The following is a 15,058-nucleotide window of genomic DNA, read 5'->3' on the forward strand; positions in this document are numbered from 1 at the left end:
GCCAGGCTAGTCTTGAACTCCTGACCTCAGGTGATCCGCCCGCTTTGGCCTCCCAGAGTGCCAGGATTACAGGCAAGAGCCACCGTGCCCGGCCAACAATTCTATTAAATTTAAAAGCATATATATTTCTTGAATTTTCAAGAGCTCTCTCTGGGTCTCTGTTTCTTTTTTCCTCATACCATCCAGTTGTATTTGATGCATCCAATGCCCCCTTGAATCCCTGGGAAGGTATAAATAGAGTATAAAAAACTATTTTTTCGTTCTTTTTTGTTTCTTGCGTTATTCCTATTTCCCCTGAGGCCATTTTATTTGTTCATCTTTCTCTGAGTTTGGAGGCTTTCCTCAAATGTGTGGTTATCTTTGATTGTCCATTCATATTTAGGAATGAAGAAATAAAAAGCCCATTGACTAGCTGGTATGTCTTAGGTTGCCAGTGGCAACCAGTCAGTCAATCACTAGAGCAGAGGACTTCCTCTCTCCACTCCCGCCCCAATGCCAGAGCATGTCTTCTGGGGACATTAGATTTCTCCAAAAACCCCCTGATCTCCCACCTGGAGCATAGATGCCAGCTTTCCCAGTGCTTTGTGCACAGGGGTGGGGAGAGACTGTCCAATGTACAGACTTCCAATCAATCCCCTCTTTAAGCTCTGTCTTGCTGGTTCTGCCCAGGTGCTGCCTCCTTCCTGGCCTGTATCATCCTCTCTGCACACACTCTACTGAGGCTTTCTCTGCCCTGCTGCATCAGTTACCATCCCTCCTCCATTTGCTTTTTTTTTCTTTTTTTTTTTTTGAGATAGGGTCTGGCTGGGGTTTAGTGGCACAGTCTTGGCTCACTGCAGCCTCTGCCTTCTGGACTCAAGCGATCCTCCCACCTCAGCCTCCTGAGTACCGAGGACTACCGGTGTGCACCACCATGCCAGGCTAATTTTTGTATTTTGTATTTTTATTTTTTGGTAGAGATGAGGTCTCACCATATTGCCCAGGCTGGTCTTGAACTCCTAGGCTCAAGCGATCCTCCCACCTCAGCCTCCCAAAGTGTTGGGATTACAGGTGTGAGCCACTGCACCTGGCCCATTTGCTTTTTATTGTCCTGAAATTTGTTGAAATATCTTGTCTACTGAGGTTACCTCACCCATTATCTTTATTGTTGTGGGTTTATATTCTTTTTATTCCTTAACAGTCATTTTAGAAGGCCCTTAAGAGACAAGGGTATAAAACAAGTGATCAGTTTATCACCTCTGGTCATGACATGCCAACTCAAGCTCACTCTTGCCCCCAGTCAGTACCACACTGACCCAGTTGTGAGGTCCTCAAAGTGTCTCAGGCCTCTCATTATGGCTCCCTCCACCCTTAACCCCAGGGTTAGGGGGTTTCCAAGGTTCTCTCCTCCTCAGGAAAGCACTGTGGACTCCTTTACCCTGAGGATGCATGACAGGTGAAAGCTTCTGGGAACACAGTCCGAATTGGTTCAAACCTAACAAATGAAGTGTGAACGGTGCGATTTCAGTACTAGGCTTGGTTTGGTGAAGACAGATCTCAGGCATGAATGCAGTTCTTATATGTTTTGAGCCTCTAAATTGGTACCATGTTACTTGCTGGTGATAACACAAGACTGACTCTCCCAAAGGGCTGAGACAGTTTCTGGAGAGAAGCTGTTTTACTCAGCACTACACTCTGTCCCCAGACCCTGACATGCAGTCTGTGGTCACTGAGGGGCTTTTGCGGCCCCTGACCTATGAGATGTAAAGCCTGGTTGCCCTGGAGATAGCTCCATGGGGCAGACCCATGGGCCTATGTGATATCCCCAAGACTGGGACACCAGGCCTCCTAGAGGTCCCTACCTAGAGGATCTCCAGCCGACAGAACCTAACCAACCAGCCTGGTTTGCGCAGGACTGAGGGGTTTCCCAGAACATAAGATCTTCAATGCTAAACCCAGAAAGTTGTAGGCATATGGGGATGAGTTGGTCAACCTACCTGCAGAGGGCTTCTCTGCTGGCCTTTCCCTCCCTTCAACTTCAGGCTGGTTTCCATAGAGAAAGGTTTGGGGCCTTGTTGGCTGCTCTAAGCTAACTTGCCAGGGTCCCAACTAGACCCCTCTGCCCCACCCCCAAATTATAGACTCACTCCCACCTCTTCCCCATCACTGAGCTGTAAAGGACAGTCCAGCTTCTCCCAGGGCAGAAGCCCTTCTACAGCCTCCCTCACCGGTCCCCCAGCTCTGCCTGTAGCCCCATAAATGGGAGCTGGGGTTGCTGTGTCCCTCACAAAGTGCTTTCCTGACACCTCCCCTCAATATTCCAACAATGACCTCATTGGACTCCTCTTCCTCATCTCAATTAATAACGTGATAAAATAATGATAAATGACATTTGCAGATCACTTATATGTCAGACCTCATGCTAAGCTTTTACTATGTATCACCTCATTTAATCATCTGAATGACATCACAGGCAGGTACTATTATCCTTATTTTACAAATGAGGAAACTGAAGCTCAGAGAGGCTAACTTACTCAGAGCCACACAGATAGTCATAATTGCAGAAATAGAGCTCAAACCTAGGAGTATCTGATGTCCAAGTCTAAGAATGTGAAACGGTCTTGAAATGTGCAGTTTAAGTCCTGCCTCCTCCAGAAGGCCTTCTCCAATCATGTTTGGCTCCCGCACCAAACTTTCACAGAAAACCGAACTCCAATGGCTTAAACATTTTTTTTTTATTTTTGAGACAGAGTCTCGCTCTGTCGCCCGGGCTGGAGTGCAGTGGTGCGATCTTGGTTCACTGCAAGCTCTGCCTCCCGGGTTCCCGCCATTCTCCTGCCTCAGCCTCCCAAGTAGCTGGGACTACAGGCGCCTGCCACCACGCCTGGCTAATTTTTTGTATTTTTAGTAGAGATGGGGTTCCATCATGTTAGCCAGGATGGTCTTGATCTCCTGACCTCGTGATCTGCTCGCCTCGGCCTCCCAAAGTGCTGGGATTCCAGGCATGAGCCACCACCCCCGGCTGGCTTAAACCTTTAGGATATTATTTGTTTACTTAACAAGAAGTCCTTCTAGAGATGGTGCAGTAACTTAGAGGTAACAGCTCTTTCCATCTTACTATATCATTATCCCAAGGATATAGGCATGGCAGATTGTACTTACCCAATGTAATACTTGGACACAACAATATCTCCCACGCCACTTGCTCTTCCGCAGTGTGACCTTGCCATTCCCTCATCAACAGGTACAGTCTAATTCTCTTTCCTTTGAATCTGGGCTAGCCTTAGTGACTAGCTTAACCAATAGAAGGTGGAGGAAATGACATTTCGAACTTTCAAGGTTAGGTCATAAGTCTTGCAGCAACTGTCTGGGCTTCTTAAAAGTCTCAGTCTGAAAACACTTGCCCTTGAAAACCAGCTGCCATGCTGTGAGACACCTGAGCCATAAGGCGGTGCCCTGGTCAAGAGCTCTGGATGAACTCCTAGGGGATATCCAGCATCAACTGCCAGCAATGTGCGTGAGCCATCTTGGACATCCAGCCCAGCAGAGTCTTTAAATAAGTCTTGGTCAGGCTGCAAGAACATGACAGCCCTCATGTAGGACCCGTCCAGTTGAGCCCAGTCAACCCACAGAACAGTGAAAGATAATAATAAATTGTTTTAAGGTACCAAATTTTGGGGGTGATTTGTAAAGCAGTAATAGATAATTAAAACAATTGGCTTTCTTCTTCTAGCCTGTTGCCTCAAGTTACAAGATGGCTGCTTCAGCTCCAAGCATCATTTCTTTTTTTTTCTTTCTTTCTTTTTTTTTTTTTTTTTTGAGACAGAGTCTCACTCTGTTGCCCAGGCTGGAGTGCAGTGGCACAATCTCAGCTCACTGCAACCTCCGCCTCCCAGGTTCAAGTGATTCTCCTATCTCAGCTTCCCGAGTAGCTGGGACTATAGGCACCTGCCACCACACCCGGCTAATTTTGTATTTTTAGTAGAGATGGGGTTTCACCATGTTGATCAGGCTGGTCTTGAACGCCTGACCTCAGGTGATGCACCCACCTCGGCCTCCCAAAGTGCTGGGATTACAAGCATAAGCCACTGCACCTGGCCTCCAAGCATCACTTCAAACAACCATATCTAAAAGCAGAAGTGAGTACAGAGCAAAGGCTTTCTCCTTGAGTGACTTTAAGAGGGAGGAAAATCTTAACCCAGAAGTCCCCCAGTATTATCTCTGCATATCTCATTGGCCAGAATTGGGTTGTACCCTCTCCTAACCAAGAGAAATGGGCAAAGGAAAAGGAAGAGGGAAATGATTGTTGGGTGGACAACCAACAGTGTCTGCCATACTTGTTGATGTGGTGGCTCTAGGAGAAAAAAGAGTTAGGTGAGAAAATGATCCAAGGCTCAAGAAGGAGCCTTCCCTACTTCCAGAAGCAAAGCTGCCTCAGTGGCAACAAGTCTATTGAAAGCTCCTTCTTTAGATAGACAGCATGGTGTGCTGACTAGAGTTCTGCTCTGGGAGGCAGAACCTGGCTCTAGTGTGGTATAATATTGCTGAGTCAGTTTCGCATTCTGTGCCTCAGTTTCCTCATCTGCACAATGAAAGGATTCCTTCTAATTCATTCAGGTTAGGAGAAGCCAGGGCAGAAGGGAGGTGCTGGATGCTTAGCTTGTGTGTAGGCAGTGAATGGTCCAAGTCAAGCTCAGCAGAGCCTGCCTCTAGCCACAGATGCTAGGATTTGCCAAACAAACCCTAATCACTTAATGAGAAATGAAAATGGTGGCTGATTCCTCCACTTAATTACCCCTTTGAAAACAACACACAGGAGATTTACAGTAATCACCATAATCGCCTCATAAAAACCCGAGAGTTTGAAGACGGACACGCCTCATTTCTGGGAGGAATTAGAGGCAAAAATCAAGGCAGGGAATTTCTGGTCTGCCTTGGCCTTGGCTCCCTGTAATCCAGAACTCTGGCCACAGAGTGCCCGCTACCCTGGATAGCCTCCCGGTCCCAGCCAAATATTGTTCCTAATGCTCCACAGCCAAGGTGTCCTTGCAGGCCTGCTTCCTGGGTCTCCTCTGTCATGTACCAAGAAGACTCACAACTCTGAAGGTCAGGTGGAGGTCCTTTAGCAGGAGACAGAAACATCTCTGAGTCCTATCACTTACAAAATCTGAGGTAAAAGACTGGAGGGGAGGTTGGGGGACACAGGCTATTCCTAGCTGTAGAAAGCCATAGCTTATAGGTTTTCCTGAGGCCATCCTGTCCTGACTTGTACATCTTCCATGACGAGGAGTTTAGATCTCCTGGGACATTTACTGAGATACAAGGACAGCTAGAAGATTCACGCTCTGCTCAGCAGAAATCTGTCCTCTTTCAGCTCCTTAAAACTAGACTCAGATCACTGGGCATCAAGGTTATAAGTGTCCTCTGGGTTTATCTTCCCTCCATAGCAATTTCTTTCTTTCTTTCCTGTCACTCTCCTACGTGCAATTCATTCATTTATTCAAAACTATTAAATACCTAATGTGCATCAGAGACTATCAATTATATTTTTTTCCATTTTTTAAAAGAGATGGGGTCTCACTCTGTCACCGAGGCTGAGTGCAGTGGCATGATCATAGTTCACTGCAGCCTTGAACCCCTAGGCTCAAGCGATCCTCCTGCCTCAGTCTCTCATGCCCAGCTAATTTTTAAATTCTTTGTAGAGATGGGGTTTCACTATGTTGCCCAGGCTGTTCCTAAGCTCAAGCACTTCTCCAGCATCAGCCTCCCAAAGTGCTGGGATTACAGGCGTGAGCCACTGTACCCAGCTTGACTATCAATTCTTAACACAGTAGGCAGAATGATCCTTTGAAAACCTAAACCAGATCATGTTACTCCTCTGTCACTCTCCAGTGCCTTCCCAAATCAGAGTAAAGGCATAACCCTTACAGTGCTCCGCAGGACTCTCATGTCCTGCCCTTCGCTCACTCTGCTCAAGCCACACGGGTCTCCTTGCTGTTCCTGGAAAACACCAGATCCTCTCCCGCCTCCACACCTTAGTACTATCCCACTGTATTCCCACTGCCTGGAATGCTTTTTGTGTGTATCTACATGGCTCCCTCTCTAACCTCTTCCAAAGCCCTTTCTGACTTTCCTACATAAAATTGGACCCCCTCCTTCTCTAGTATACTCTCCTACTTTATTTCTGTCCATATTGCTTATGACCATCCAAAACAATACACTGCAAAATTTGCTTATTTATCTTGCTTAATGTCTATTTCTCTCTTCTAGGGGTCAAACTCCAGAGGGCAGGGATTTTCTGTCGTCTCTCTCTCTGTTGTATCCCAAACACCTAGTACAATGTCTGTCACATAGTGGGCAATAAATGTTTGTTCAGTGAATGAACTAATGAGGATAGAGCAATGAAAAATATAAAGCCCACGCCCTCAAGGAACTTGTGGTCTGACAGTAGAAGCAGACATCAGACAGTCACCCACAGGACTGAGCAACTGAATGATGCATGTTGATAAATGCTAGGTAGGGAAGTAGCAGGTGTAATGACAGTGGTCTGACTGTAGCCAGGAACACTGTTGTGAGTTACTCTGAAGAGCTGCTTGTGAGAGGATTGGAGTTTAGGGTGATGAGGGTTTGGAGCCACAAAGCTCTGGGAGGAAAAGATGCTGGAGAAGCTCAGATTGTGACTTCTAGGCCCTTTAAAGGTGATGGGACTCCAGGCAGAGGGCAACCATCTGCAAACGGGGTCAAGTGCCCACTGTGCCATGTTCAAGATATGTGCTCTGGAGCAAGCCACCTTGGCGCTGGAGTACTTGCTTCCTTATCTCTAAGATAAAGAAGCGATAACTAGCTCCTAGGCTGGTTGGGAGGTACAAGTGAAATGTTTGTCAGAGCTGGAACCTGCAGATATTCAATAAGTGCCAGCTCATTTTCTGCTCCCTTCTTCTTCGTCAAACCTTTTAACATCCAGCCTCCTTTTACCTGGCCACTCCGTTCTCTCTCCTGGCCCTGTGTAAGCATGAAGAGCTGTATGAGAAAGGGAAGCATCTAATCATCCTAAATGTACAACTGCAGGTTAACAAAGGTTAACAGGATCTTTAAGGGGCATAATTTGACAGATTAGACTGATCTCTACTGTGCCCCAGGACGCTTGGCTTTGTTGCAATTAACTAAATCTCCCATCAGCCTCCAGGCCTGATGCCTGTTGGCATATAAGACCATGCCACTAGAATGAAGAGTTGGAGCAGGGGGTGGCAGACACAGCTAGGCCCTGTGGTTCTGCCCATGGCCTCCCTCTGGGGGAAGCCCTCCTTGACTACAACCTAGAGAGAGCTCCTGCACATACCCATACATACACATACACACATGTAACACACATGCAGAGCCACACACAGCTCCCAACTCCACCCCCCACCATGGGAGGATGGACTCCCGGCTCCTCAAATCTTTCTCTCTTTACTTATTGATAGGTGGGGTAGGAGGTTGATAAGGAGGCAGCAAGTATATTACTTTTTCCCATGGTTAGCATGGACAGTGGACACACTCAGGCATTGAGCAAATTTTCACCTATGCAGGGGCCAGCCCTAGCTTTAGGCAATAGAGAAGCAGATGAATCAGATCAGAGTTCTGGCCTCAGGGCTCACATTCTAGTGGGGGAAACAGGTACGTGCACAGGTAATTATAATATAAACTACGCGATAGTGGGAACCTGAAAGAAGAGAGCTTATTTTCCCTTTGGGCTAGGGCAAGGCTTTAGGGATTAGGCAGACTTTGATCTGGGCTGAGGTAGGATGGAAGGGCTCCTAGGCAGATAGAACTGCATGAAGAAAGGCACAAAGGTGGGATAGTGTGGTACAAGTTCAGGAAATGGCAAAGCCTCTGATGTCAGGGTCAGGCTAGAGCATATGGTGGGGACATAACTGCTTTCACTGTAATGATTTGGTTTGTAACCACCCCTGGGACACCCCTCCATGAGTTAATGCCTCCCAGTCCCTCCCTATACACACTTGACACCTTGGATGGCTTTGACCAGAAGAACTCTTTCTTGTTTACTGCTTCACCTCCCTGCCTGGCCGCACATTCAGCTCCTTCAAGTCAGCCTCCCTTGCATCACCTCAAGGACACAGCGGTCCTGCTTGCTACAGAGAAGCCTTCCCAACCACTCTGGCCCACACTGGCCTCCTCATCTGATCATCTCAGATGGCTGAAGTACCGATATGGTTTCACACAACAGCACCCTTTCTAGTAAAGGTACTTTGCTACATGCTATCTTAGGATGCTATTTTCATAAGAAATCCACTAGAATCAATTCAGACAAAGAAAGGGGAAGTGATTACAAGGGAACTGGAAGTCTAAAGGAACCAAACACATAAAAGGACTTGGCCCAGACTTGGGAAAGCTCTCAGGAGCCCAGGAAATGGGAGTTTCTCCCTGCCTCTGTGCTCTTTTCTCTTCCCGGACTGACCTTCTCCACCAATCAGATCACATGGAGGAAAACATGACTGCTGACAGCACCTGACAGGTCCAGCCATGTAAAAACAATCTCCAAATTCCCAAGAGAGGAGGCGACTGGTGTAACGGAACCACATGTCCAACCCTGGCCCAATCAGCTTTGGGTAGTGGCATGGGGTCACATAAAACAAACATGGCTGCTAGGCTACACCTCTGGGGGTCATTTCTCATAGTCATGTGGATTGGTGAGTGGGCTGTTCTGAAAGAAGGGAAATAGGAGCAGAGCAGATATCCCAAAGATGCCCATTACACACGTATAATATAGTGTGACAAAATGCTCATACGACTTCTAATTCCTAGACTATCCTACTGACCTACTCTGCGACTTCAGGCAAGTCTCTACCATCTTGGGGCTGCAGTTTCTTCATCTGTACACAGAGGAGGATGGGACTAAGTGTCCTGTTGGGTTCCATAACTCTCCAGGACTTTGGCCCAATTACTTACCGCCTCTGAACTTCAGTTTTCTCATCTGTAAAATGGGAGTAATGATATCTAACTCACAGAGTTATTGTAAGACAATGGGTATGAAAATATCTAACATGGGTTGAGTACAGAGTTATTCAAGAAATGCTGGTGACCCTAGTAGATTTAAATTGGGTGGCTGTCCCGCTCACAGTGGTTTCCCCAAGGGTCATAGCTATGATTCCCACGTGTTTGGGAGAATTGCTCCTCCTCTAGTTGGGAGCTGCCATACTCCACAGTGTTTTGTCAAGGGGTGAGCATGGGTCCACATTGGGCCACTCAGAATCCTTCTCTGGGGCCTTGTTTCAACCGCAGCTCTTGTATCTTCATTTGCAGAACTCTAAGGAGAGGGGCTTGTTACTGCCAACAGCCAGACCCCAACCTTGTAAAGAAAGTGGCCTCTGAGAGTGAAGATGACATGAAGAGGACTTTCAAACACTGGGTTTCACACATTTTGAAGTCCAGTTTCATCCTTGCCCTGATTTATGAGCCAATACATTTCCTCACTACATTTTTCTTTTCTTTCTTTTTCTTTTCTTTTTTTCTTTTTTTTTTTTTTTTGAGACGGAGTTTTGCTCTGTCACCCAGGCTGGAGTGCAACGGCACGATCTTGGCTCACCGCAACCTCCGCCTCCTGGGTTCAAGCGATTCTCCTGCCTCAGCCTCCTGAGTAGCTGGGATTACAGGTGCATGCCGCCACGCTCGGCTAATTTTGTATTTTTAGTACAGATGGGGTTTCTCCATGTTGGTCAGGCTAGTCTTGAACTCCTGACCTCAGGTGATCCGCCCACCTTCGCCTCCCAAAGTGCTGGGATTACAGGTGTGAGCCACTGTGCCCGGCCAACATTTTTCTTAAGTTAGTTTGAGTTGGTATTCTGTCAATTCCTTCCTGATGATACCTTCTCCCTTTCTCTAAGCCTCGGTTTCCTTAGCTGTAAGATGATGGGGTCCCATCCTGTCCTCTTTCATCTCTGACACTTTATTACCGTATTTGTTCATTTATTCATTCAGTCAATTAGTCAATCAGTTACTTGGCATTTACTGTGCATGTTATTCTGTCCCTGGCCCTATGCTGGACACTGGCAATCTTGCTAGAGAAACAATCACTTCTCCAGTTCTCAAGACTCATATAGTTAGGTTGGGGAGAAAGGTAAGAAAGGATTCAGTACCGTGGGTGATGATGGCTGTGACAGAGAGAAGCACAGGCACTGTGGGGAAATCAGAGGACTTATCCCTGCTTGGAAGGCTTCCTGGAGAAGATGGCTGAGTTTTTCAGACAGGGGTGAGCACAGAGAGAAAAGGAAAGGTATTACAAGCGGAAGAACCTACCTTTGTAAGGGCCCAAAGGAGAATGACAGAAAGCAACAGCCTGGGTGGGAGGGGAAGGGACACAAGAGAGGAAGCTGCAGGTTCATCTCTACTCTTCTTGAACTTATTTGTATTTTTCCCCCATGAAACTTCCAGGGAACAACAACAACAAAATACTTCTCCATTTTTTAAGCTTGGAAAATCCCCTGGGTGGAGTCTTTGAGTGCAGATAGATGAAAAGAAGTGGCTCTTGACCACAGAGGAACACTGGAGCAAATGATTCTTTCTCCATCAGGGTGCCCCACTGGTCCCAGGTCCTATCAGGGAAGCCAAACTGGCTGTGACATCTAGCGGCTGGTCTAGGGCTGTCTGACGCTTCTAAAAACAGGAAGGCGGGTGAGCCTAAGGCCAACCAGAAGGCAGGAGAGCAGCCCAGGCAGGCCAGGGAGGAGTGCAAACATCCCTCCTCCCCTGATAGGAGACATACTCATTACATTTTGAGCAAAGGAGGCTCACAATGCACCCTAGAGAAAATATGCAGTTATTGCCCCTAACATGCCAAAGCCCTACTAATGACTGCACGCCTGCTCCAAAGGCACAAACCGTTCCAGATGTTGCTCCCTGCCTCTGGGAGGGCCCTTCCTTCCTCCCGCCCGAGGTTCTGGACTCTTTCTTGAATTACAGTCTTTTGAGAGATATATGCACCGCTGAGGGGCTTGGGGTGAGTGACTGTCCTCCCTGGGCCTCACAGGGACAGTCTAGGTGATCCTTGCCTTAACAGACTGTTGTAGAGACTATGCCTGTTGGCCTGGTGGGGTGGTGAGAGAAGAGGTGCTAGGCTCGGAGTGGGGAAAGTGGTGAGGGAGGTGCGTTCTAAATTTGGGTGTTCTCAGTTTTTGCATCTATGAAATGGTAATGTGTCTGTAGGGAGGCAGTAATTTGCAAACTTAATTCTTCAAACACACTCAGGAATTGCTATATCTGGATATGTACTGCATTGGAGCCATCTTCTAGCTGGGTAACTCTGGGCTCCTTCCACAGCTGTGACCTTCTGTTCTCTCATCTGTAAATTGGGGATGGTTTTTGAAATTAACATTTTTTCCTAGTTAGAGGATGTATGCATTCTTGTAGTTTTTTTTTTTTGAAATTGTAATTAAATAATTTTTGAGTAGGTTACGTAATTCACATGATTCCAAATTCAAAAGATGCAAATAGTAAAGAGTTAAAGTCTCCCTCTCCTTCCTGTTTCATAGCCACACAGTTCTCTCCTCATGAAGCAACCATTGTTTTTTGTTTTTTGTTTTTTTTTGGGACAAAGTCTTGCTCTGTCGCCCAAGCTGGAGTGCAGTGGTGCGATCTCGACTCACTGCAACCTGTGCCTCCCGGGTTCAAGTGATTCTCCTGCCTCAGCCTCCCGAGTAGCTGGGACTGCAGGTGTGCGCCACCATGCCCAGCTTATTTTTGTATTTTTAGTAGAGACGAGGTTTCACTATGTTGGCCAGGCTGGTCTTGAACTCCTGACCTTGTGATCCATCCGCCTCGGCCTCCCAAAGTGCTGAGATCACAGGCATGAGCCACCGTGCCCGGCCCGAAGCAAGCATTGTTATTGGCTTTTTGTATATTAACTATGGATATATTTTAAAAATCTGTTGAAGTATTAACATATATATAGCAAAGTGCATGTGTCACAAGAGCACAACATGGTGAATAATGTTCATAGTTTAAATTCCTAAGAAGATAAACAATAAAAATCACCCCAAATCCATCACCCAGAGATAAAACTGTTGATATTTTAGTGTATTTTCTTTTTTGATGTACATGTATGTGTGTATGTGTGAATATATATGTGTATGAACATTGGAATCATGCTGTATAACTTATACCCTTTTTATAGTTAATATTATATCATGAACATTTTCTTGCTTCATTAAAAATTCCTCAAAAATAGCTCTTTTAACGTTCTCCTAATGTTCCAAGGAATAGATCCAAACTTACCTAGGGATATTAGGTTCAATTTTTCCTCTATGATAAATAACACAGTGATGAGCATCTTTGAACATACATTACTCGGCACATCCCTTCAGGATGAATTCCTAGAAGGGGAATTACTGAATCAAATCATATGTCTCCTTTAGAAGTCAGGATATAATAGGGAGAGTCAGGCCTGATTCACAGAGCTGCTTAAAGGATTACATAAATTATGTAAGACTCTGGCCTAGTGCTTGGCACAGACACTGAGGTCCGTGAGTGTGAGCCTAAGGAGTCCCAGGGAGAGGAGAAGTAAATGTGTATGCCCCCTCTCCCTGGTGGCTCCACCTGCTAGACCTTCCCTTCCTGGAGCTTGCTCACTGAGCCAGATGGGAGTCTCAGTCTTGTCTGATCTTTATTATTTTAATCATTGCCGTCTTGCCAAGTGGCGGGCTGGTGAATGTTTAACAGCTAGATTTCTGGCTGGTGGGGGGCACTCTGATTGGTAGCATTTGTCAATTTCTGTGGTGTAAATACTCCCACTGTGGCCAATTTCAAACTACGACCATGATGTCACCAAAAGCAGTGTTGGGATGAGATGCATAGTCTCACAAGCCAGTTGGAACTGGCTCCAAATCACCAGTCCTTGTCTTTCTAGCTACCCATATCTCCCTTTCCTCCCTCTCTCTTCTTAACCCCTCCCCATTTAGCCCCCACGCTGGGGCTTTTCTGAGGTGATAGAGACTTAACATTTTGTGGGAGGTGAATGTTGCTAAAGAACAAAAACATCCTCTCCCAGTTCTCTAAAGGAGAAACTGATGCTCCTGATGGTCAAGATGATTGCCCCCGGTCACCCAGCCAGATGATTTTTCAGAGTCTTATTACCTGATTCCTGCTTGGGACATTTCTCAGATGGGAGGCAGTGCTTCCTGCAGTGGAAATAAACTTTCTTTTCTAGCCACTCCTTTTCTTCCTCTTTCTCTTCAGCGACTGCTCTCCTGGATCCACAAGAGGATGAGGCCCAGGCTTTGCCCTCAGGAGCTAAGAGCAAGTGGAGAGGCCAGACACATATGAGCAGCTTGCCGAGTTATTACCACTTTCTCACTCAAGTTCTTCAATCAACAGGAGCTTTATACCACTTTCTCACTGAGGTTCTTCAATGGCTTCTCTTAACACTTAGGAAAAATCTGTTTAATGTGTCCCTCCCTGCATAACCACCACCCTCCCCCAGATGTCAGCTCCTGAGAGTAAGAATCCTTGGTCTTCATTTTTGGCTCCCTGGTGCCTAGCATAGTCTGCCACAAATCAGGTGCTGAATAAATATTGTTGAATAAATGCAGAGAAGAAAGAGCTGGGTGGGGGCTGGAGGAAGGGGTGAGTGCAGTGTGGTTACAGTCCTAGGCTTTGCACTGACTTGCTTCAGGACTTTAGACAAGCCTCTCCCCTTTCTGGACCTGCATGTCCAAAACTGTAAAGAAGAGATATTGGATTCTAGCAATAGTTTAAGAATGGGGATTAAAAAAACACCTCCCAGTTACCTCATGTGATAGCAGTTGTGCTTTTAGTATCCACTGATGGACCAAAAATCATGACAAAAAAATAACTGCCAAACTTTTAAATGTGGTTGTATTTATCAATCACAGCAGCATCTACATCCATTTGAAAAACATTCAGACTGTATGTGAGAGACACACTGTGCATGTAGTTTACAGACAGCACTGGGTGCCACATGGTTTCCAGATACCTTTAGCTAAGCGGCCCAGATCATCTCAGAGTCCTTCAAGTATGAGGGGCTTATGTCCCTAACATGGGCCACAGGAGGTGTGTAACTTGCATTGGGTCACATAGCACATGAATGGTGGATTCAAACTCATTCTTCTCCAGCTTGGGTTCCCTTGGCTCTGGCAGCCTGCTGACAGCACCACTCCCCTTCGGCTTCCCTGGAAATGAGAAGCAGGAAGGCCTGAGAGCACTGAGATTGCCTAGGGTGCGGGGGCGAGGTGGATGTCAGAACGCTGACAGTTCGAAATGACACGGAACATACTTCAGATGCCTTGTGTGTGGTTTAGGAGCGGCTGGAATTACACCCTCAGGGCTGAGCCAGCATTGTTGGAGCCAGAGCTGAGCCTGGACCCTGCTGAAGCAAGGCCCGCATGGGGGGTCTTGGCCCAGGGCCACAGAGCTGAGCAGCGGCAGTGAGGGCAGGAGGCAGATTCCTAGCTGGAAGCCAGCACATGGACCTTTTACCTTTCCAGACAGGTGTGGTCATTCATTCATTCACTTATTCATTCAGCAGGGTAGTCAGTCAGGCACTCAACAAATGCTCACTGAGCCGTGCCCCTCTGCAGCCTATCATAGGGTCCAAGGAGGAATTGCTTCCATTCCGCTGGGGAGGCAGGCATGGAGCAGGAGCATGTGATCCAGTCTCTGGGTACGGTCAGGCCAGAGGTGCCAGCAGGCCTTTTGCCTGGAGAAGGAGCAAGAAATTGGGAAATGTTTTCTAGCAGATGAAATGGTTATCTTCTGTGAGTGGTTCTCAAGGGACAAGCAGGATTACACCAGGCAGATCAGGGAAGAAAGGGCCCTGCTGGCAGAGGGTGCAGTGGGAGAAGTAACTGGTTCCCTCTCTACCTTTGGATGGGAAAACTCTCTGGGTTTTCATTTGCTTATTTGTTTGACAATGTGGAAATGGAGTTTTTCAGAGGGAAAGATGAGACTTATTGCTATAAAGGTCTTGGAGATGGAAGGGCTAGTTAGACAAATACATGAGACAGTATTTGTATCTAAAGCTGGCCAGTCGGGTTGTTGTAATTTTGATTAGCAAAAACGCAGAGTG

At 46.7% G+C, this 15,058-nt stretch overlaps 1 long non-coding RNA gene across 1 annotated transcript in view; it reads right to left on the reverse strand.

Annotated features, from left to right (window-relative positions):
- Positions 1-15,058, reverse strand: part of LINC01389 (long intergenic non-protein coding RNA 1389) — a 56,522-nt gene that overhangs the window by 14,417 nt on the left and 27,047 nt on the right. The window contains exons 2-3 of the long non-coding RNA NR_126355.1: positions 14,470-14,689; positions 13,108-13,263 (exon numbers count right to left, since the gene is read on the reverse strand). This is a non-coding gene — a long non-coding RNA (long intergenic non-protein coding RNA 1389). The remainder of the gene's footprint in view (positions 1-13,107; positions 13,264-14,469; positions 14,690-15,058) is intronic.

The sequence above is a fragment of the Homo sapiens genome, chromosome 1 (assembly GCF_000001405.40).
Source record: "Homo sapiens chromosome 1, GRCh38.p14 Primary Assembly".
NCBI classification, from domain to species: Eukaryota; Metazoa; Chordata; class Mammalia; order Primates; family Hominidae; genus Homo; species Homo sapiens.